The sequence below is a fragment of the Homo sapiens genome, chromosome 13, assembly GCF_000001405.40.
Source record: "Homo sapiens chromosome 13, GRCh38.p14 Primary Assembly".
NCBI lineage: Eukaryota > Metazoa > Chordata > Mammalia > Primates > Hominidae > Homo > Homo sapiens.
Window position 1 is genome coordinate 91,435,307 of NC_000013.11, and position 25,604 is coordinate 91,460,910.

At 36.4% G+C, this 25,604-nt stretch overlaps 1 protein-coding gene across 12 annotated transcripts in view; it reads left to right on the forward strand.

Moving 5' to 3' along the window:
* The window catches only part of GPC5 (glypican 5), a 1,468,617-nt gene that overhangs the window by 36,686 nt on the left and 1,406,327 nt on the right, over nucleotides 1-25,604 (forward strand). For all 12 annotated transcript variants that reach the window (NM_004466.6, XM_017020435.3, XM_011521054.4 and 9 more), the window contains exon 2: nucleotides 13,455-13,616. In NM_004466.6, the coding sequence (NP_004457.1) occupies nucleotides 13,455-13,616 (162 nt within the window). The remainder of the gene's footprint in view (nucleotides 1-13,454; nucleotides 13,617-25,604) is intronic.

A 25,604-nucleotide genomic window follows, 5' to 3' on the forward strand; every position in this document is an offset into this window, starting at 1 on the left:
GATATTGGCTGTGGGTTGTCATAGATAGCTGTTATTATTTTGAGATTTGTCCCATCAATACCTAATTTATTGAGAGTTTTTAGCATGAAGGGTTGTTGAATTTTGTCAAAGACCTTTTCTGCATCTACTGAGATAATCATATGGTTTTTGTCGTTGGTTTTGTTTATATGCTGGATTATGTTTATTGATTTGCGTATGTTGAACCAGCCTTGCATCCCAGGGATGAAGCCCACTTGATCATGGTGGATAAGCTTTTTGATATGCTGCTGGATTCGATTTGCCAGTATTTTATTGAGGATTTTTGCATCGATGTTCATCAGGGATATTGGTTCTAAAATTCTCTTTTATTGTTGTGTCTCTGCCAAGCTTTGGTATCAGGATGATGCTGGCCTCATAAAATAAGTTAGGGAGGATTCCCTCTTTTTCTATTGATTGAAATAGTTTCAGAAGGAATGGTACCAGCTCCTCCTTGTTCCTCTGATAGAATTTGGCTGTGAATCCATCTGGTCCTGGACTGTTTTTGGTTGGTAAGCCATTAATTATTGCCTGAATTTCAGAGCCTGTTATTGGTCTATTCAGAGATTCAACTTCTTCCTGGTTTAGTCTTGGGAGGGTGTATGTGTCGAGGAATTTATCCATTTCTTCTAGATTTTCTAGTTTATTTGCGTAGAGGTGTTTATAGTATTCTCTGATGGTAGTTTGTATTTCTGTGGGATTGGTGGTGATATCCCCTTTATCATTTTTTATGTGTCTGTTAGATTCTTCTGTCTTTTCTTCTTTATTAGTCTTGCTAGCAGTCTATCAATTTTGTTGATCTTTTCAAAAAACCAGCTCCTGGATTCATTGATTTTTTGAAGGGTTTTTTGTGTCTCTATTTCCTTCAGTTCTGCTCTGATCTTAGTTATTTCTTGCCTTGTGCTAGCTTTTGAATGTGTTTGCTCTTGCTTCTCTAGTTCTTTTAATTGTGATGTTAGGGTGTCAATTTTAGATCTTTCCTGCTTTCTCTTGTGGGCATTTAGTGCTATAAATTTCCCTCTACACACTGCTTTGAATGTGTCCCAGAGATTCTGGTATGTTGTGTCTTTGTTCTCGTTGGTTTCAAAGAACATCTTTATTTCTGCCTTCATTTCATTATGTACCCAGTAGTCATTCAGGAGCAGGTTGTTCAGTTTCCATGTAGTTGAGAGGTTTTGAGGGAGTTTCTTAATCCTGAGTTCTAGTTTGATTGCACTGTGGTCTGAGAGACAGTTTGTTATAATTTCTGTTCTTTTACATTTGCTGAGGAGTGCTTTACTTCCAACTATGTGGTCAATTTTGGAATAAGTGCGGTGTGGTGCTGAGAAGAATGTATATTCTGTTGATTTGGGGTGGAGAGTTCTGTAGATGTCTGTTAGGTCTGCTTGGTGCAGAGCTGAGTTCAGTTCCTGGATATCCTTATTAACTTTCTGTGTCGTTGATCTGTCTAATGTTGACAGTGGGGTGTTAAAGTCTCCCATTATTATTGTGTGAGAGTCTAAGTCTCTTTCTAGGTCTCTAAGTACTTGCTGTATGAATCTGGGTGCTCCTGTATTGGGTGCATATATATTTAAGATAGTTAGCTCTTCTTGTTGAATTGATCCCTTTACCATTATGTAATGGCCTTCTTTGTCTCTTTTGATGTTTGTTGGTTTAAAGTCTGTTTTATCAGAGACTGGAATTGCAACCCCTGCCTTTTTTTGTTTTCCATTTGCTTGTTAGATCTTGCTCCATCCCTTTATTTTGAGCCTATGTGTGTCGCTGCATATGAGATGGGTTTCCTGAATACAGTACACTGATGGGTCTTGACTCTTTATCCAATTTGCCAGTCCGTGTCTTTTAATTGGAGCATTTAGCCCATTTACATTTAAGGTTAATATTGTTATGTGTGAATTTGATCCTGCCATTATGATGTTAGCTGGTTATTTTGCTTGTTGGTTGATGCAGTTTCTTCCTAGCCTCGATGGTCTTTACAATTTGGCATGTTTTTGCAGTGGCTGGTACCAATTGTTCCTTTCCATGTTTAGTGCTTCCTTCGGGAGCTCTTTTAGGGCAGGCCTGGTGGTGACAAAATCTCTTAGCATTTGCTTGTCTGTAAAGTATTTTATTTCTCCTCATTTATGAAGCTTAGTTTGGTTGGATATGAAATTCTGGGTTGAAAATTCTTTTCTTTAAGAATGTTGAATATTGGCCCCCACTCTCTTCTGGCTTGTAGAGTTTCTGCCGAGATATCAGCTGTTAGTCTGATGGGCTTCCCTTTGCAGGTAACATTTTTTCCTTCATTTCAACTTTGGTGAATCTGACAATTATGTGTCTTGGAGTTGCTCTTCTCAAGGAGTATCTTTGTGGCGTTCTCTGTATTTCCTGAATTTGAATGTTGGCCTGCATTGCTAGACTGGGGAAGTTCTCCTGGATAATATCCTGCAGAGTGTTTTCCAACTTGGTTCCATTCTCCCCGTCACTTTCAGGTACACCAATCAGACATAGATTTGGTCTTTTCACATAGTCCCATATTTCTTGGAGGCTTTGTTCATTTCTTTTTATTCTTTTTTCTCTAAACTTCCCTTCCCTTCTCGCTTCATTTCATTCATTTGATCTTCCATCACTGGTACCTTTTCTTCCAGTTGATCACATCGGCTACTGAGGCTTGTGCATTTGTCACGTAGTTCTCGTGCCTTGGTTTTCAGCTTCATCAGGTCCTTTAAGGACTTCTCTGCATTGGTTATTCTAGTTAACCATTCGTCTAATTTTTTTTCAAGGTTTTTAACTTCTTTGCCATGGGTTCGAACTTCCTCCTTTAGCTTGGAGTAGTTTGATTGTCTGAAGCCTTTTCTCAACTCATCAAAGTCATTCTCTGTCCAGCTTTGTTCCATTGCTGGTGAGAAGCTGCGTTCCTTTGGAGGAGGAGAGGCACTCTGATTTTTAGAGTTTCCAGTTTTTCTGCTCTGTTTTTTCCCCATCTTTGTGGTTTTATCTACCTTTGGTCTTTGATGATTGTGACGTACAAATGGGGTTTTGGTGTGGATGTCCTTTCTGTTTGTTAGTTTTCCTTCTAACAGTCAGGACCCTCAGCTGCAGGTCTGTTGGAGTTTGCTGGAGGTCCACTCCAGACCGTGTTTGCCTGGGTATCAGCAGCGGAGGCTGCAGAACAGCGGATATTGGTGAACAGCAAATGTTGCTGCCTGATCGTTCCTCTGGAAGTTTTGTCTCAGAGGAGTACCCGGACTTGTGAGGTGTCAGTCTGCCCCTACTGGGTGGTGCCTCCCAGTTAGGCTACTCGGGGGTCAGGTACCCACTTGAGGAGGCAGCCTGTCCATACTCAGATCTCAAGCTGTGTGCTGGGAGAACCACTACTCTCTTCAAAGCTGTCAGACAGGGACATTTAAGTCTGCAGAGGATTCTGCGCCTTGTGTTTGGCAATGCCCTGCCCCCAGAGGTGGAATCTACAGAGGCAGGCAGGGCTGCTTGAGCTGCAGTGGGCTCCACCCAGTTCGAGCTTCCCAGGCCACTTTGTTTACCTACTCAAGCGTCGGTAATGGCGGGCGCCCCTCCCCCAGCCTCGCTGCTGCCTTGCAGTTTGATCTCAGACTGCTGTGCTAACAATGAGTGAGGCTCCGTGGGCGTAGGACCCTCCGAGCCAGGTGCGGGATATAATCTCCTGGTGTGCTGTTTGCTCAGTAGGAAATGCAGAAATTACCCGTCTTCTGTGTCGCTCACGCTGGGAGCTGTAGACTGGAGCTGTTCCTATTCGGGCATCTTGGCTCAAGAGCCTTCCCAGGCTCTTTTGAAGGCTTCCTTCTCTGTTCCAATTCATATTGGCATGACTCCGGCTTTGTGTTGGCCAGTGGTTCTCAACCAGAGATGGTTATACCCAAGGGGGGGACATTTAGCAATGTCTAGAGACATTTTGATTGTTATAGCTGGTGTGTGTGCATACACATGCTAGTGGCATCTAATGGGTAGAGTTCAGGAATGCTGCTAAGCATCTTGCTGGGTTCGAGACAGCTCCCTGAGAAAAAAAAGAATTATCTAGCCCCAAGTATAAATAGTGCTGAAATTGAGAGACCTTCTAAACTTCATTAACTAAACTTTCTCCTTAGGTGATCTTATAAAAATCTTCAGTATTTGATACCATAATTTGTTTCAAGTGCCCCAGTTTATATTTTCAATCTGCATCTTTTTCCTGAGCTCCAAACTTGCATATTCAAATATTATTTTTGTATCTTTAACTGGATGTCTAATAGTCTTCTTATTTCCAAAGCTGAATTCTGTTTTTTTTCCTTGCAAACCTGATGCTTGTGTATTCTCCTTTTCTCTTGATGGTACTCATAATTTATGCAGTTTCTCAGGCTAAAATCTAAGGATTATCCTTGATTCCCCTCTCTCTATCATCTGCCAAGTCTTACTCAAGGCATTGCTCTCCAGGTTATCTTCTACGTTCAGTGTATATATCTAACTTGCCCCCTTCTTACTTTCACCCTAGTCCTAACTCTCATTTGCAATACAGAAACACCGATTCTCAAAATAACCATTAGAGTGAAATTTTAAGAAACAAATAAAATCAAGTTACTCCTGTCATTGTAATCAAGCTGCTATCATCATTGCAATAAAATTCTTCTACAAGGCCCCATGTGAACCAACCTCATCTCCTGTTTTTTCTCCCCTTTGTTTACATCCTGAGATTCTTGCCTTTTCCTTTTTTCTTAGATTTTTATTAATTTGACTATAGTGTTCTTAGACATGATTTTCTTTGCATTCATTTGTCTTGGGGTTCAAGGAGCTTCTTAAATTTGTTAATTTGTGGTGTTCACCAAATTTGAAAAATTTACAGTAATTTTTTCATGGACTATTTTACCAGCCCTGTTTTCTCTCTTCTTGCCTCTGGGACTCCAATCTTACCTATGTTACACTTTTTGCTATTATCCCACAGGTCCGTAAGGCTTGTTCCTTTCATCCATCTATCCATCCATCTATTTATTTTTAATCTTTTTCTCTGTCTTCTTCAGATCACATATTTTCTGCGGATCTATCTTCAAGTATACTGACTCATCTGTCAACTCTACTCAGCTTTCAAGCTCATACAGTGAATTTTTTATTTCATATATAATATTTTTCAGTTACAGAATTTCCATTTTGTTCTTTTTCCTGCGGAGAATCTCTGACCTATAATTTATTCTGAGTTTATGTTCTTTTACCTCATTGGAGATAGTTGTAATAGCTACTTTGAAGCCTTTCTCTGTTAATTCTAATATCTGGGGCTGGCCTTAATTTATTGGCTTATCTCTTGAATAGGGTCATGTTATATCGACTCTTCATATGTTCAGTAATTTTAGATTGTCCCTTGGATTCTGTGGATGTTATATTATTCTGACTCTGGATTCTATTGTATTCCTTTTTAGAGTTTTGATATGTTTGTCTTAGGAGTAATTTAACCGGTTTGGACTCAAACTGTCACTGCGTCTCTTGGGCAACAACTATAATTTTCATTCAGTTCCTTCATCCTTAGCTTGCCAAGAGCTAGGTTGCTTATAGACTGCACAAGTTATGTGAGGTATGGTTCAGGGGTCAGCCAGAGGTTGGGCAGAGTTTACACAGAAACTGGGGTTCTTGCTCTCAGCCCCTCTCTTCCCTGGTATTCCCCCTTCACTTTCTAGAAACTCTTCCCCAACCTCTGTCTTCTAGTTCTTCAATCCAGAAAAACTGAGTTTTCTATTTGAGTCACTTTGTACGTGGAATATCCTCAGGCTAAAAGCCACAGAGATAGAAAACTAATCCCCTGCTTTTTTTCTTCCTTCAAATATTGACTCCTCTTCAGACTCTCCTCTTTTGTCCACTCTCTAGGGCTTTCAAGTCTGTTATATTTTGCCAGAGTTAATGGTTTCTATCTGTAAGATAGTGTAGCCATACTGCAAGTCAGACCCTTTTTGTTTTTTGGACATGTAAGGTTTATTTTCACTTCAGGGCAGGGAACTTGAGTAGCCATTAAAGAGGTGTTATCAGACCTTCATTTAAGTATAAAGTTCCTTTGAATTGTGGAATAAATCATAGAAGAAAGTAGAATGGTTTGGCATGCTATTACCCTGGGAAATACTGTTGCTGTTGTATTGGCTAGATTTCTTTATATTGCAGGTGACTGGAGAAACTATGGTGGATCCAGACTTTACTCTGAGCTTGAAAATGACTATGGCATTTGCGAATCTTGCACCTTTGTACCATCGAATTCATTTTCAGCAGTAGAGAGGAAGCTTTGCTTTCCTGGGACCTTTGCTTTCCTGGATTTTCAAAGAATATTCCAGCAGGAGGCACAGAGGCTGGCTAGCTCTCAGCAGATTGTTCTATATTAATGGTCTTAAGTATTTTTTATTCTACATAGATGAAAGATTACTTGTGTCTCAGTCAAAACCCTTCTGCCATTATAACATTTCCAAAACTCGTCTCAGTTCTTGGATGTATACAAAGAAGATAGTCTCCAAAAAGGTAGGAGGAGCAAGTTTGCCAATTGTCATTTTTCTATTGTGAATTTCAAGGCCCTGTTTTCATCTGGTGAGCATTTGGTATTTCATAACATGTAACATCCACTCTGGTAAATATAAGTACATCTTGATCTCAATGTATTGGTACCAAAGACTCTTCTCTATGTCTACCATCAATAAAGCTAACATGTGCTACAATTATAAAAATCCTGTAAGTTCACTAGAGGAGAGGTAAATGTTGAAATAAATGGAGAATGTGTGTTATCAACCAGCAATCCTACCTTAAAAATATTTTTTATTATTAAATAAAGCACAGATACAGGAAGCCACACAAATGTATGGCTTAATAAGTTATTATAATTTGAACACCCTTGTAACTACCACCCAGGTTGAAAACTTGAACTTTTGTCAGTATCTTGAAAGTCCTTCCATGAGTCCCATCCTATTAACAAAATATTTTCTTATCACTAAAGTCACCACTGTACTATTTTTATAATGATTTCCTTTTTTGTTGTTAAAAAGTAGTTTTTATCATTTCCATGTGTTGCCCATTTAAAGAACATTTGTTATATTTTCTATGTCTCTCCTTTTTTATTGTGATAAAAATATAGAACATGACATCTACTCTCTTAATAAACGTTTAAGTGCATGTTATAGTATTGCTAACTGTAAGCACAGTGTTGTGCAACAGATCTCTAGAACTTTATTTTGTATAACTCTTGTAACATACCAGGTCTCCCTCCATCTCTTTCTTTTCCTTATGTATCTGTTGAGAATCTGGACCATTTGGCTTTCAGTTTTCCAGTCTGTATATTGCTGATTGCATTCTCATGGTGACATACAAAAATGTTCCTTAGTGCTTTGTGTTTCTTCCAATTTGGCAGCTGGATTCAGAGACAAGATCAGACTCATGTTTGATTCCTTCGGCAAGACGTTAGTTGGTATTTGGCAGGGACTATAGGAGGCACTTAAGGTCTGGTTGTCTCTGTGATTTTAGCAGCTACTGTTGCTTAATGCCTATATCCATCAGTTCCTTGGAGATTAATGGTGACATTCAAAGTTTATTATTTCTCTTATTGTTTATTATGAAAGGAGGCTTCTCCCATCTGCTGTTTGATTATTTACTGGTACAGTTCATATCCAAAAGGAAGGATACCTATTTGCTTCTTTCTTTTTATTTACTATTTTCCAAATTAATATAATCTTCCCTCATCATCCTGTAAAGCTGACAAACTTTAAAAAATCAATACAGTCCCATGGATTTAAGCATATTTGATTGGTTGCAATCCATTACAATTATTATTGAAACTCGAATTGTCTCATATTTGGCCACTGCAAACATTTTGAGGGTGGCTTCTTTCATGAACAAAATCATGTCTCCCCAATATTTATATTAAAGCTCCCAATGTGATTGTATTTAGAGATGGGGCCTTTAAACAGGTAATTAAGGTTACATGAGGCCACAAGGGTAGGACCTTAATCCAACGTGACTGTTGTCATCAGAAGAAGAGGAAGGGACACCAGAAGTCTGCATGCACAGAGAAATGGCCATGTGAGGGCACAGAGAGAAGATGGTCAGATGCAAGCCAACGAGAGACCAACCCAGTGGGCTCCCTGAATTTAAACTTCTAGCCTCCAGAACTGTGAGAAAATAAATTTCTGTTGTTTAAGCTCCAGTCTGTAGTATTTTGTCATGGTAGCCCAAGCAGACTAACACAGCTTCTGTGTTCTTTTGATATGGCCTGGTAGTTATTTGATAGCTTCTTTGCTATCTGCTACGTAAGATGTTTTAGTCAGACTGTCATCTGACAGATTTTCTGCCCCAGAAGAATGAGTCATTTCTTCAAGAAGCGCTGATTTCTTCTTGAGGAAATGATGCTTCAAGACCATAATCCAAGCATGAGGAATGCCCTTTGCTATCTGGTTAGTCGTTGTTTTGGGGTCTTTTCAGGGAAGGTAGGAATTATATACATTTTAAAGGTAAAATTCTTTATGAGTTCATGTTGGTACTTATAATTCAAATTCAAGATTACAGAGTCTTACTTAACGTCTTCTTTATCATGTCTGTATCTCCGTTTTTCCACACTAAAGATCCGGATTTTCAAGAATACAGGATGGAATTAGAGGATAGAATTAGAACATTCCAAAATTGCTTATTTGTTTATCCCATATTAGACTCACAACAATTTCAGATGACATAAAATACAGTTTTTAGTATTTATCCTGTTTTTTTTCTTCAGGGGCTTACATGATCAATATCTCACTTTGGTATTTGTTGTCACTATCTTTCAAATTCCTTCATTCTTTTTGATTTTTCAAAATTTTTATTTTTCATTTTCTGTTTCTCTTAAGGCATTACGTTTGTGTGATTGGCTCTTGTGTTCCTTCTAGTAAGGCTTCATTTAGAATTATTTTCTTTTATCTTTAATTTTTATCCTGAGTACTATCACCTCATATCTGAGTTTTAAAATTCTGACATATGTTGTTCTTTCATGTTTTGTGTCATTGTCTTTCAGCTTGTTTTGAAATAGTATGGCTAAGTTTTTGATCTTTTTTGGAGGGAGCATATCATTCCAGCATATTTTTTCTTGTCTGTGGGATATTATTCTGTTTCTTATTCTCTTTTTTATTATAGTAACTCTGAGTATCGACCTCAATATTTTTGTTGTTCATTTTATATGAAGTTAGTGTTTGTTTTTCTGAACATTTTTATTGAGACAGGCTTCAGCATAGCTTCTGTAACATTGCAGAGCTTCCTCTTCTGTTAATTTTGTGTAGTGTTTAAAAATATGGCAGCTCATTTTATGTTATTTTCTGGATTTATTTTCCTTTGCACTTTGGGCTAGACTTTCTCTATGTGTCTTGAATCCCTGTTCTGTTGAATTTTGATTTCACTTACAGCATTTCTCTTCTGTGTGTGGTTCTGTCCTGGAAAGGAGCCCTGCTGAACCTGTTTGATTGTTTACTGGGGTGGGGACTGCTCTTGTTCCTTCTTTTCTATCATGGGTCGATAGAACACATTTAATGATTGAGGGGGCAAAATTCTCCCAGTTTCAGCTGCTGTAGGAGCCCCGCTTTACTTGTAGGGGATATGTTTCAAGACCCACAGTAGATCCCCGAAGCATCAGATAGAACCAAACCCAACTGCTGTCAGTCAGAACATGTTTCTGTTCATGTCTTCCACCCACAAATTGAATGCCTTTTCCATCTTAACTAAGGACTTACGTGCTGTGGCTATAACTTTTCAGTTTGAGTTGCGATGGCAAAACTAGCACAAATTATTTTTCCCTTCTTCACGGTTTCATGGATAGAAGATTCATTCTTATGTAGATCTTAGTAAACTCAGCATATCGTTATTTTTTCTTTTCTTAACTGACTTTCACCTTTTCACTTAAGCGAAGCACTTTGGGCAAATCCAGATTGCTAGTATTATTACTCTTGTGCTTTGGAGCCATTTTGAAGTAAAATAAAGGTTACTTGAACACATACACTGCCATACCAGGACAGTGTCCTCTTGACTACCAGGAGGGCTAGAAAGTGGCTAACTGGTGGGACGCATAGACAGCGGAGATCTCCTGGACAAAGGGGTGATCGACACCCCAGGTGGGATGAATCAGGAAGGCATGAGATTTCATTGTGCTACTCAGAACAGCAAGCAATTTAAGCCTTATCAGTTTGTTTATTTGTTTGTTTGTTTTGAGACAGAATCTTGCTCTGTCCCCCAGACTCGAGGGCAGTGGCACGATCTCGGCTCACAGCAACCTTCATCTCCCAGCTACAAGTGATTCTCCTGCCTCAGTCTCCTGAGTAGCTGGGATTATGGGTACATGCCACCATGCCCAGCTAATTTTTGTAGTTTTAGTAGAGATGGGGTTTTGCCATGTTGGCCAGGCTGGTCTCGAACTCCTGACCTCAAGTGATCTGCTCACCTTGGCCTCCCAAAGTGCTGGGATTACAGGCATGAGCCACCATGCCCAAGCAAAATCTTATAAGATTTTTGGTTCTGGAATTTCCCATTTAATATTTTCAGACTGTGACTGTGGGGAACTGGAAGCATAGAAAGTGGAACCATGGTTAAATGGGGAGCTACTGTATTCTCAAGTGGGTCGCTGTGCTTTCCTGTCACTCCTGCTCACTATTTTGGGGTTCTCCTGATCTCAGATCCTTCAGACATTCCTCTGTTGCATCTTTCTTCTACCCTGTGCCCTGCTCTGTTACTGTGAAGATCTTGTGCCTATTCCTGGTTTCTCCCCATTCTGTTTGTATTTTAAAGTTTGTGGGGATATCATGTCATCTAATTTTGTTTTTGTTTTTTGGGGGTTTGTTTTCTAGTTCCATCTGGTTTTATGTGGAGATTTGGAGATAGTGAAAACTATGCTGCCACTGCCACCATATTTCCAGAATACCTCCTGATGTTCCTATTTAACATATTGAAAATATACAGGCATGTAGATATCTGTAAATTTCTTATGCTAGAGAATGGAAAGGAAGACGTATTAACCACTACTGCTGCTTCTGGGTGAGAATTCAGAAACATCCCCACAATTCTGGTTGAAGTCTCCTTCATTGAGGCACATTACTGTTTTATTTTTGGTTTTGTTTTAGTACTCTGTTTCTTTTGGAGTTTGATTTTACTGTTTAGAAACATGACTGTCACTCCAGAGCCTGGGTTGTGTACTCTTGCTGTCTCATAGAATTCTAGGATCATGCCATGTTCCTCGAAGCCAGGCATTGAAATCTTCAGATACCTCTAGTTACCATGCATAATAGTATCTGGGTTCACTCTAGCTTTGTTTTCTTATGATGCCTGTTCTATTTACAATAGGAGCCTGGGCTTTATATCACCCAAACATCTTATTATGCCCTTTGTGCTGATACTGTGAACAAAATGTAAGAGATAGCTCTTTCCCTGAGGATTTTGTTCATCTTGTCTGTCTTTTGGATTGATATAGTAACTTAGGGAACACATTTCCTGTCAACTCTTTTCCCTTTTCACTGTGACCCAACTCTAAATTATTTAAGCTTATCTTATAGGCGATACTGATGGAAATGTGCCAAGGAGAGATAAGTCAATCTTTGAGGGTTTGCTGCATGCGCGCATGAGAACAGGTAGGGTAAGTGTGTCTGAGACAGAGAAGAGACCATGGAAAATGGTTCTGTGACAAGAGAGAGCTTGGTGAACACAGAGAGCTGAAATAAGGCCAGAGTGTGATGGGAAGAGTACAAAGGCCAATGTTTCCGGAGATGAGACTGGAGAGGGAGGGAGGAAAGGAAGGATCACAACTTGGAGGCCTTCACAGGCCATGTTTAGGAATTGGTCTAACACAACAGTGTTATATATTTAAATTCCAAAGAGATATTTGCTATGATCTGCTGTTATTGTTCTTTTTATTCCTCAGCAGTCTTTCCTACACTAAATATGTTTATATACTTTAATATTTATTCGTTAGTTCTTTTCCTCAATCTCTATTATTGCTTTTCTCTGGATGCTAATTCCTCAATCCTTCAATTTAGGAATAAAGCTGAGAAGATAGCTTTTTTTTTTTTTTCAAATAATTTTACTGTTTGAAGTAGAATTTGCTCTTACGTAACTTTAGGTAAGATAAGTGAAAAACGATTGCCAAAATGTTACCTACTGTGACACTTACGAATATTTTATGCTTCTTAGCCTTTGTAAAGTGTCAAAATTCTGTCATTTGTTATTTGTCTGACTTAAACTACAGCCAAAATCGTTAGAGATTTTGGTGTCCCATGTTGATAGGAAGCTCAGAGTGGTTTCATATATTTTCAGCTGACCCAGAACCAACTTTTGGAAATTTGAGACCTGAGGCCAACTCTGTGTGGAAAAAGTAGGAAGGGCTTGAAAGGTGGTTGTTATGTGCATGCGTCTTGTGTGTATGTCTGTGTGCATGCACCTATTTTACTGATCTAAAATTAGTTGATGAAGAACTAATGTGGAACCTGTGAAACTCACAGAGATTAAGGGCCACAATTCTTCTTGTTATTCTAAAGTAAGGAAATAACCGTATTAGGCCATTATGTAAATAAAATTGTCCTGAGCTTTACTTATAATCTAGTAGCCTTGGAATGCCCTGGGGCTCACATCAGCTCTCTCCATCAGGGTTTCCTCTTTGGGCACTAACTCTTTGTGCTCCACATCTTTCCTCTCTGTCCTCTAGCATATCTGCTGTGCATAAAGGTGCTTGTCCTGGGTCCCTACCAGGATGAAAGTTTAGTGATACTAGCAAAGGTTTTTTTGTAACCATAACTCTTACATTTCATATATTAATAACTTTACATTTCATGCAATATACATCTTCACAGGATCCTTCTAAACATGATTGTACAACTAAAAAGTGCTTTTAAAGGAGGGGATTGTCTCTCGCCAGCTATATAGTGAGTGGAATCTTGGATGCTGAGCTTGGGCCCATGGGGGCCTTGATCTCCCAGCATGTCATTATTGCAGAGATAGCCTACTTCACAAGCAGCACGAGCCTGATGGCAGCTGAGAAATCAGGTCAAGTTTTTTGACCTTTATGTGATGTTCAAAATTCAGTTTCATTTCCCCATGAAAAGCAATTCTTTTAGTCCACATAATTATCTATAACATATTTCTTTCAAGCAATTTTGGCTGAATTGATAAAATAAGCAAAAAACCCACAAAAAACCTTTTTCTTGATTGAGCGCTGTACTTCATAGTAGTTAATTTGCTTTCTATTGAGTGGAGATACTTAATATTTGACCAAGAAGTTAATATAATATTTGAGCAAAGAGTTAATGGTTTAGAATATTTTGTTTATGATTGTGTTAATGAGCAATAGATAAACTTTCTTATAGCAAGTACTCTAGCAAATCCATTCCTCACATAGTCCTTTGTGTGCAGGACTGGTCATAACGCCTGATATATAATATGTAATACTTGTTAAATGAACAGGTAATCATTCTGAAAAATGTTGTGTGTTCCAGGACCTGATCTTCAGGTTTGCATATCCAAAAAGCCTACATGTTGCACCAGGAAGATGGAGGAGAGATATCAGATTGCGGCTCGCCAGGATATGCAGCAGTTTCTTCAAACGTCCAGCTCTACATTAAAGTTTCTAATATCTCGAAATGCGGCTGCTTTTCAAGGTAAGTGGATCTTGAATTCTGCAACTAAGGACTGGCCGTGTTATGTAATTTGCCTAAGATAGTTACGTTGGCAAACTTGGCTGGGTTTATTTCCTTGTATTTACATAATATTCGGGTATAAAATGAGGTTTTAACTTTTTCTAGCCTTCAAAACTTGTTTCTGAGGTCATTGTGGGAGTATATACTGAGTTGGATTGGGGAAACTGAGTTGGACTGTTATGTTAGTGAAATGATCGTTGGAAATATATACTGCTATAGGGTTCTTCCAGGTCTGCCAACATTCTGACTCATAGCTGTACTTTAATATGAACAGACATAATTATTAGATTTCATGGAAAAGTTCTATAACATAAAATCTCATTGCTTTTTACTGGGTAATTATAGATTTATCTACTAAAAATTTTTTTTGGATGTCTCATAATTTTATTTTATATAAAATTTTACTTTAAATTCTGAGATACATGTGCAGAACATGCAGGTTTGTTACATAGGTATACATGTGCCATGGTGGTTTGCTGCACCCATCAGCCCGTCATCTAGGTTTTGAGCCCTGCATGCATTAGGTATTTGTCCTAATGCTCTCCCTCCCCTTGCGTCCCGACCCCGCAACAGGCCCCTGTTATTTGAAGAAATACTCTTTAAATTTCCTTGCTCTAATCTCATATGGTTTTCATAAGAACACCAGTGGAATATATCAAAGTGCAAGCAAGTCTGATAAATAGTAAAACAGGAAATGTTAATTGGATGTTTAAGGGTCATTTAAGACCAGAACTCAACCTTAATTCAAGCAATATGTTCAGATATAAAATTAATAGGTTATAAAATTACAAGGCACACTGAAAAATACATGATGTTTTTCTTATTTTAGTCATCTCTTCTGTAAAATTCCTTATTACTACAATAAAATAGCTTAATTTATTTTTCTTCTTATAAAGCATTAGCTATTCTGTATATGACTAGAATGAAAATATCTAGATTATACAGCTTTTCAAATTATTACCTTTGGTCAATGCAGAATATAACTTCTGTTAGTATTCCTTTTAAATAAGTACATTAATGTCAATCTATTTGAATAATTTGCTTGGTGTACATATATAAGTAAATCACAGAGCTCTTTAATTTTTAAAATGATAGTTATTAAATAAAATAAATGCAATAAATCAGAATAAAATTTAAGTTAAAGTGTAGTTCATGATGAATTAATGCTTTTTTGTAGAAAGCGTGAAATGTCAGATTTTAAGGTTTTATAAATTTAGCTGCTTTTTTAGATGCCTTACAAAACAACTTTATTTCTATTGTAGGATTTATTCATGTGAAATTGTTGGAGGAAAATTTACTGATATACATTTTAAACCAAGATTTGTGATTTAGCTGAGTTAGAAGCCGTTAACCATCTACAGAAAATTATATTTTCTTCCAATGAAAAGGATAGTAGGTACAATATGAAATATACATTTTGGAGGCCACGCAGTGGATATATCAGTCTGAGCAGAATGGAGTTTGTGATAGGTGGTCATATGCTTAAAAAGGTGGACTGGATTCATATTGAATCTTGGATATGTGATCAAGATAGAGCACATTACGTTCAAAGGGTTAGGAAACCTGGAATATTTAGACTTTTAAGATGGATTGAGGCTGGTGAAAAGTTTTGGTGATACTGCTAAAAGTTTAGTGATAACCATCTCAGTAGTAGAAATATATGTTAAGGAGATCGTCTCTATTGAAGTGTCAGCTAATTTTATGTAAACCTTTGTTTTCTGTTTACTAAATTTTATCTGCTTTATTCATTAGGTTGAGTTTTGCTATTTAAAAATTAATTATAAAAAATATAGAGACATTCTTAAATATGATTTTTTAATAATAAATTATAATTTCTTCCTTAGTAGATGTCAAGTTTTATTTAAGAAGCTCAAGGGAAGACAAATTTAAAAGAAATTTGCCTAAAGGCTAACTTTTCTGGAACCAAATTCACTTATAAGAATACCCACTTTTATTGAATTGAATAAGTAGCTTTAGGCTTATTTCCTTAAAAACAAGCTTAAATATATATGCCAAAAGCAGTACAAGAGATCACTTTGCTGTACCATAAGTGAGCAGGCTACCTTATCATTAAGTAAAATGCCCTCCATCTAATTTCTGTGCAATTAAAATATCTGAAAACAATATAAAGTCTTTATAAGAAGGAAGCAGCCAACACATTTTTTTTGGGAAACGTCTACTTGAGAGAAATTTGATAGAGAAATCAATTAACTTCTCAAATGATGTTAAGTAGATGTGCTACATTTTGATTTTTTAGTTTTCAAATAGTTCATTTATATTTCCTAGTTCAACAATATTAATCTGTTTTCCGAGTTATATTGTAGGTTATAAAAGACATTGGACTGGGATGTAGTATGGTCTCTTTCCTCATGGACCTTATGTGACCCCACGGAAACATATTTTTTAGAGCAAACTTTTGAATACAGCCAGTGAGGATGATCACTTGGGTCTGGGGATTTAGCAGAGGGCACACTATTGTTAGATGAAGGCTGGGAGGTTAAAAATGCATGAGGGAGAGAGGAAGCCATGCTGACAGCTGTTGTTAGAAGAGACCTAAGATTATCCTATGTGAAACTCACACTGGGCTCTGTAGTCCACTGCCTATGTATATTCCATTTAGGCTAGAATTAGCCTCTAGGACAACTCTTCTGTTTGTTTGTTTTTTTTTTTCCCCGAGGTGGAGTCTTGTTCTGTCACCCAGGCTAGAGTGCGGTGGCATGATCTTTGCTCACTGCAACCTCTGCCTCCCAGGTTGAAGTGATTCTCTTGCCTCAGCCTCCCGAGCAGCTGGGATTACAGATGTGTGCCACCATGCCCAGCTAATTTTTGTATTTTTAGTAGAGACGGGGTTTCAACATGTTGACCAGGCTGGTCTTGAACTTCTGACCTCATGATCTACCCACCTCGCCCTCCCAAAGTGCTGGTATTACAGGTGTGAGCCACCATGCCCAGCCCACATTTTCTTAAAATGAACAAAACAGACAAAAATCTGCTTTTATTTATTATTTATTTTCATTTTTTCTATTATTTTTAATTTATGAGACAGGGTCTCACTCTGTTGCCCAGTCCAAAGTGCAATGGTGTGATCACATGGCTCACTGCAGCCTCAACTTGCCAGGCTAAAGTGTTTCTCCTACTACAGCCTCCCGAGTAGCTAGGACTACAGGCTCATGACACCTTGCCTGGCTAATTTTTGATATTTTATAGAGATAGGGTTTTGCCCTGTTGCCCCATCTGGTCTTGAACTCCTGAGCTCAACTCATCCACCTACTTTGGTCTTCCGAAGTGCTGGGATTATAGGCATAAGCCACCATGCCTGGCCAAAAATCTGTTTTTAGAAGGACTCATGATTATGACCTGGGACTTCACTATATTCTAAGGGCAATCATCCATGAAGTATTTTATAGGGCAGAAAAAGAAAACTGCTACCCTTATGTCAGTTGCTGTTCATAAATAAGTAGTGCTGTTTGCAAGGAGGAATGTTGGCTTTGTCACAGTGCAAACAATAACTGTTCTTCATTTTCAGGGGCTTAGTAATGTTCATGAATAAAGCAGAACAGCCCAGGATAATACAAGAGTTTGTTTCCCATTGGTGGTTTTGCTATAAGATTTTCTGCTTTAAAAATATTTTGGAAATATTTGTTATAAATATTTTGTTTCTTTATACATGACAGTATGGTGTGATGCATGGAGAAATAGGGGAAATTGATGGAGAGTCATCTTCTGTAAAAAACAACTCTTATCCAGCTTATATATTTTTCAATTTTTAAATCTCTGTTTAAATAAAATAATGAAATTTAGTTTTTTAATTTGTAACTATGCAAAAATTTCAACATGACTTTCAAAAAATAAAAAATAATATTTTAGAGGACACTATTGGAAGCTTGTGTTTTGTGTTAATATTTGGAAGATAAGGTTAAAATGTTATATCTTTCCTTAGAAATGAACCTTTTCTTATTTCTTTCAACTTCATTATGCTCATATATTTCTAAAATATATGGTGGATACTAAGTCTTTATTCTGGAAAATTTCCAGTTATATATATAACTGGAAATGCATTATTCTAAAAAAATGTTATTGCTAGAGTCTAAGTGACATTTAGAACAAAAATTATTTAACTTTTTTTTGATTTCATCTCTTGGCTAATTATATTTTGATTCCTTGATTATATGTTTTTGAAAGATTGGCAAGCCTGTCCTCTGGGGTTGAAATGTTAGATTCAGGAATTTATTAAAAAATGATTGCTATTTTTAATGAAATGTAGGAATATGCTTGAAATTAAATATATTTAAAAAGCAGGTGAATTGAGAATATGAATATAACTTACGGATTTTTATCCTTTATGCTAACAGATACTGGTTACTGTAAAGTGTATAGCTATCGTATAGCTGCTACTGTAAAACTAAAGTATATATGTATATATATAGCAAAAGACACAGGATATAGTTAATATTCAAATATATTAATGAATATGAAGACAAATAGATTTATATAAATGTTACAATATCAAGCATAGAGCACATTAATCTTATTTAAGTCACTTCAGCTATACTTTACAGAAATGGACTATATTTAAAATTTTTCCTAGGAAGAATAAAGGCGTATTGCTATTTTTAACATTAAGAATTACTTGATCAAGATTAAGAGAACAGGCAGCCTAGGCTGGTAGTGTTGGGGAGACTTATTTCTATGTGTAGCACTGAGAGCAGATATACAGCAAATGTAAGTAAATTAACTATATGAATAAAGGAATGAATGAATGAATGGTACTTAGCAAGAAAATGGTTCAGAAATAAAATGAGAGATTCATTTCCTCTCTCCTCCCTCCCTCCTCCTTCTTCCTTTCTTTTATTCCTCTGTTGATGCATTTAATATATCTTTTGAGCACCTACTGGGTGCCAGCATCATTAGGTACTTAGATTGTACACAGTGTCAAAATGTTAAATCCATTATACTTTTACTGGATCATTCAGACTCCTAATATGCCGACATATTTATTAGTTTATTAATTTCTAAACTATAAAGGGGCACATGATAGTGTTTATGTCAGTGGCATGCTGAATGGGATTGCATTCTTTTCCTTGTTCAGTTTTAGGCAGTGCATGGTTTAGTGTGTTATCTAATACAGCAGCTATCAGTGCAATTGGTCTTTATTCAACTGTCCTTTATCTCTGCAATGTTAAAAATTGTTTCTTTTGAATCGGCGTCAACAGGCTTATATTAATTATGAGAAACCAAGCAATTTTCCTGTTCTAGATAAAAGTTGCAAGAGCTTAAATTACTTTTCAGCTGGAAATAAAGCTTGCTTCATATGAAATAATATCAATAGTAGAAAAATATTAACTATAGATCTAAGATCAGGTTTACTTTTCCAAGTTTCTTTTTTAAACTCTAAGAAGTAAACTTTTAGTTGTTTTAATTCTGACAGATGATAGTTATGATAATATCACCTATGGCTATGGTAATCTCATCTTGCAAGCACAGTAATTTGCTTATAGCTGGTGAAACAGTTCTTGATTTTATATTAAATACACTTTCAGTTAAATCTTTTCAATGTAAGAACTGTACATCTATTGGCTAGATGAATTGACATTTAATCAGATATTTATCATTTTGCTATTTGTTTTTAATTTTTGAAACTCAGAGCAGATACTCAGCAAATATAATTAAATGAACTGCATGAATAAATGAATGATACTTAGCAAGAAGACTTGTGAAATAAAACAAGAGATTCTCTCTCTCCTTCCCTCCTTTCTTCTTCCCTAACAGTAGCTAGTATCTGTTAGCATAAAGGAAGAAAATACATAAATTATATTTATATTCTCATTCTAGATTCACCTGCTTTTTAAAATAAGATATTCAATTTCTCAAACCCCTGGGCTCAAACTCTGTTGCTCAAATAATCCTCCAACCTCAGCCTCCTGAGCTGGGACTACAGCCATGCTTATATTCATTTAATCTTATGCAGAGGGAATCATAGAAATGACTCTTGAACGCTACTTATGTGTTGAGTAAAGGACAGGACATTTGGGAGATTACAACTAGTTATGTTTTTGAGATTAATCTGTGTGTCTATCTATCCATCCCTTTTATCCATTTAATTTGATTTATAAAATTCATTTTTATAAATATGTGACGTTTATTCATTCTTCTGTTGATGGATATTTTAATAATTTGTAACCTATTTTTGCACTTAAAATGTTGCAGTGAACATTCTTGATATCTCCGTGAGTGCTTGTTTCTCCAGGGTTCACACATAGAAGCACAATTGTGGTTTATAGGCTATGCACTTGTTTACTTTACTAGATATTTACTAAAATTGCTCTTCTAAGTAGCAAAACCAATTGAAACTCACTCTAGTGGTTTGTGTGCATTGTCATATTTTCACATTTTTCCTAACACTTAAGTATTGTCAGAATTTTAAAAGTTTTACTGAACTGATAATGATGTTGTATCTTGTTTTCTAAATGTGTGGTCCTCTCTGATTATTAGGGTGTCTGCATATCACTTCACATGCAGTTCTTTATTTTGTATTTTATTTATTTTCCCTTATGAATAAATCATACCAACATGTGTACACACTTAGAGGATGTATACCATGTTGTATTTTGTATGTATTTAAAATTTCTGTCCTAGGTACAGATATCACATTGGATTTCTACATCTTAAAGTTTTAACTAAAGTAATTGGAATTTCTTTTTATGTGCTATAGAAATCCAAGCTCCCCACGAAGTTTCTGCACATCCCAAGGCTTGCAGTCACATAGTCACTCCTACCTCTGCTCCCTTGCTTTTAAAAAATTTGCTGTTGTCTGCCTCTTTCCTGTCATATTAGCTGTATATGATTTTTTTCTCAATTTCCAGTTCCCAAAACACACACACATTATATACATGCAACCCACTCATGATGTATGTGTAAAATAACTTTTATGAAATGATGATTATAGAGGAAGACAAAGTCTAAAGACCACATACTTTCAATAATTTCAAATTGAATGTTGATTTCTATTTTTGCAAGTCTTTTTCAGCCCTCCAACATCAATCCATGAAGCCGCCATTCTCAGCTCATTCTCTCTGGCCCAGAGATCTCCCATTCTTGTGTGATACTCTCCTCTCCTCCCCAGATAGTGAGATAATGTATCTTCCAGTCTCTTACATTTATTATATAAGCAGAGAAATATTAAATACCCACCGCAGGGCTCTGAGGATGAATGTAAACTGAATGCTTTTTGATCAGCCTGTTGTCTGTTAGATATTTTGGGAGTAACAATTTTTCCAAACCAAACATACAAAGTATGGTGATCCTGTATAAGGTATAGACAAAGTGTATAATCTTTTTTTTTAGTATTAGTTAAATTGAGTTCATTTTATATTTCCAAATGTTAACTTTTTTTTTTCTTTTTGCAAAATGTTAACTTTTGCAATCCATGGAAAGAAATAAACAATTATTAGCTTCTTTTAAAAGAGAACCAATTTATCTTAGGAATGTTTGCTTTTAAAAGCAATAATAATCTGCAAAGTTAATAATTTTTTTAAGATCCAAAATATATTGTATTTAAATGATTTTTTATTTCTTATACTAAATATTTTAGGAAAAAGTAAAATCAGCTTAATTAAAATAGCATTTTTCTAATTAATGTGTGAAAATATATATCAAGGGAAAATTGTAATGTAAGCATTGTGTGGTATGACACTCATTTTGTAATTCAATATTTATGAATTCTTTAAAAAAATTTTTACCCCGTGGAACAAACTTAAAAATTATATTGATAATGATATATAAAACTTGCATGCTGTAAAAAGTAAAATTCACGTGGGTGTTTTGTTTTGTTTTCTAGTTTAGCCCTGTGCACTTAGCATATGAATATGGGATTTTTTTTTTTTTTTGCCAATGGTATCAACTAACATATTTTGCAAACACGTGTCATGGAATTATTATTTCTATGCAGTAAAATGTTTTAATATTGAAAGTAGGGTATTTCCCTATTTATAAGAGGCTGGTGGAAAGACAAAGACTGAGGGAGCATTTGAATACATTTAAGTCTATTTTATGTGAAGAACAAAGTTACAGTAAAATTGCGTAATAATTTGATCACAAATTATTACTATCCTATTACTATTATAAATTCTATTAACAAATTTTGTTAAAATGTATCTTGATGTATTACATTACTTGCCAGCTTTTTTGATAGGGCTTTTTTCATAGCTATTTTTGTATCAAAATATTTAGTTTTTGGAAGCATGGCTTACCCTGTTAAATATCCAATGTAACTAATTAGTTTAAAAAATAACATTTTCAGTATTTTGAGGTCTTATGGTTTGTTTTTTCAAGACCCTACAAAATTTTATCTATGATGGTTAGTGACCACATTAATTAGTTTTACAGTAAAGATAAAATAATGATACTATAAAAAATATCTAAGACGTTATTTTAAAACTCAATAATGTATCTATTTTTACCTTTTACTTTATCATGAGATGTTAATTTGCATTTGTCATGGTTATTATGTGGCATATAGCACATGACAGCATCTTGTTCTTCCTTCTGCCTGTTGTCAGAACACTCAATTTTTGGGGTGACCACACTCAATAGCCATGTGCATAGGGACAATGCACCCTGCCGCAGCACAGGGGATGACATGAAATGGAAGTGCGTATGTAGTTTGAAATAGTTTTTGTGGGAAATAGAAAAGGTAATTAACCAAAAACCAGGTAGAAGGTTAACATTGGAGACATGTAATTAATAGTAAAACTTGTATCTATGATGGTGTGACTGCTTTCGTTTTCATCCTTTCCTAGTGCCTAGGGAGAAAGTACAAGTAGAGGAGCACTGACACGTGGTTGAGCAGGTACAGTGGAAGGCTGAAGGTGGTAGGAGGTCCATTCATCCATCCAACAATCATGGGGCAGCCTGAATGTGCCAGCACTGTTTAAAGTGCTTGGATGCATGGGTGAATGAAACAAAGATCCCTGTCTTGATAGTTCCCATTTCAGCCAGGAAAGATAGAAAATAAACAAACATAATAACAGATACAAGTTAGGATGTATTAAATGTTTAGAAAAATATATAGAGCAGAGTGAGGGGGATGGAAATACTAGAGGGCTGCAATTTTAAATTGGATAATCAGGGAAGAAGTGGCATTTCAGCAAAAATTTGAAGAGAGTGAAGGAGTTAGTCATGTGGATACCTGGGAGAAACACATTCCAGGACCAGGAAATAGCTGTAAAGTAGAGGTGGGCCTCAGCTGTCAGAGGAATAGCAGCAAGGAGGCAGCATGTGTGGGGCATACGGAGGGTGATCGGAAAGGATATCACCGAGGCCAGGTCGTCTGGGGCCTGTTAGGCATTTATTCTGAAACAGGAGTTTTTATGATAGGTGTGATTTGATTGTAAAATAATCACTGTCTTCCCACAGCCAACATTATATTGAATGGGGAAAACTTGAAAACATTCCCCGCCAAGAGCTGGAACAAGACAAGGATGCCCACTTTCACCACTTCTAATCAATGTAGATATACAAATGATGAACAAACATGAAAACATGCTCAACATCACGAATTATCGGGAAATGCAAATCAAAACCACAGTGTAATACCACTTTACTCCTGCAAGAATGGCGATAATTAAAAAATAAAAAAAAATAGATGTTGGCATGGATGCGGTGAAAAGGGGGCACTTTTACACTACTGGTGGGAATGTAAACTACCCTGATTACATTGATCCAGCAATCCCACTACTGGATATCTATCCAGAGGAAAAGAAGTCATTATATGAAAAAGACACTTGCACACATGTGTTTATAGCAGCACAATTTGCAATTGCAAAAATATGGAAGCAGCCCAAATGTCCATCAATCAATGAGAGGGTAAAGAAAATGTGGTGTATATGCATGTATATACCATGGAATATGACTCATCTATAAAAAGGTACAAAATAATGGCATTTGCAACAACCTAGATGGAATTGGAGACCATTTTTCTAAGTAAAGTAACTCAGGAATCAAAAACCAAACATCGTATGTTCTCACTGATAAGTGGGAGCTAAGCTATGAGGATGCAAAGACATAAGAATGATACAATGGACTTTGGGGACTCGTGAGGAAGGGTGGGAGGGGGGTGAGGGATAAAAGACTACACTGGGTACAGTGCACACTGCTTGGGTGATGGGTGCACCAAAATTTCAGAAGTCACCGCTAAAGAACTTATCCATGTAACCAAACTCCTCCACCTGTACCCCAAAAACCTATTGAAATTAAAAAAAAGAAAAGAAGGTTGGAGTGAGCCATGATTGCACCACTATACTCCAGCTTGGGAGACAGAGCAAGACCCTGTCTTAAAAAATAATAAAATGAAATAAAAAATAAAATAAGCACTCTATCTAGTTGTCTAATCTATCATAGCCTACAGAAAAGAGGCACCGTGGTGACTTGGGTGTTTGCAGTGGAGGTGGCAAGATGTGGTCAGCTTCTATATCTCTTATGATCCTTAGTGGGCCCTGGACATAGTAAGAAAAGAATTGAAGCCCAGGGCATCCTGATAATGGTAAAATATATCAGGGTTGCATCAGTGATGTAGGTGCCTGGAGGGTAGTGGATTAAAGAAGCCCAGGCTGTAGGAGGGGCTTCCACATGGACTTGAGTCTCCAAGTCTGTTGGTAGAGTTGGAGTGAGACAAACTGTGACCTGTTTCTCCAGAGTTCTCAAAGAAAGGAGGAAATTGGTGGTGTGACAGAGACATCCAGTGGAGGCTAAGCTTATACAGGGTAGAAGAGTAATTAATGGTCTTGGAAGAGCCAGGAGATTTCCAGTGTCCCTCTAACTGTCTGGCTCTGTAAAGTGATAGACATATTTCTGTAATAAAATATATCTAGATATGAAAATACAATTGATTTTGATATAATTCACAATTCTACACAACAAAACATATTGCCAATATTTAGCATAATTTAAGAGTAAAGGGCATTCAAGAAATAATGCAAATAAATAAATCAACCTGAGTTAAATTTATAACAAACTTTGAAGGGGGAATATGTATAATGCGATAGCATTGTATAAAGTTATATGATGAAAATCATGAGTTTGTATATGAGAAATTTGTTTTCACTTTATAAAATATACAACATGCTTATGTAAAAATTGAAAATAGAATTATTTATTAGTCAATAACCCAGTTAGCAAGTAAAGTTCTATGGTGAACTTAAGACTCTTGGGACTCAATTTTGAAGTCTTAGTGGTAATTCTCATAATAGGAACACATTTGCTCTTCTTATATGAATCAAATTCTTTTAACCAAACAATATTAATAGTTATCAATCATTTAAATAATATCTCTTTGTTGTCTTTTTTTTTTTTGGTGGGGGGACAGAGTCTTACTTGTTGCCCAGCCTGGAGTACAGTGGCGTGGTCTTAGCTCACTGCAACCTCCACTTCCTGGGTTCAAGCAATTCTCATGCCTCAGCCTCCTGAGTAGCTGGGATTATAGGTGTATGCCACCACACCCGGCTAATTTATTTTTGTGTTTTTAGTAGAGACAGGGTTTCACCATGTTGGCTAGGCTGGTTTCGAACTCCTGGCCTCAAGTGATCCACCCACCTCAGCCTCCCAAAGTGCTGGGATTACAGGCATGAGCCACCATGCTGGGCTGATATATTTTTATTATATTATTTCTTATCTAATTAGAAATATTTGCAGTTTGTGTAAGTGACATTACTGTCAAATTTAAAATTATAAAATGGCATAATAACTTATTGTAAACTATGAAACATAGTTTATTAAAAATGTAGAAGTGTTCTTAATATTTCAGCTTTTTTTTTTCTATAGGCTTGGGGGAATATCAGATTAAGATGAAAATATTACACCATCATCCATAATATTGATTTGGTAAAAGGATAAGATAAAATGAAAAATAAGATACCTTTCTTTCCTCAGACAAATAGAGGACTTAAATTTTAC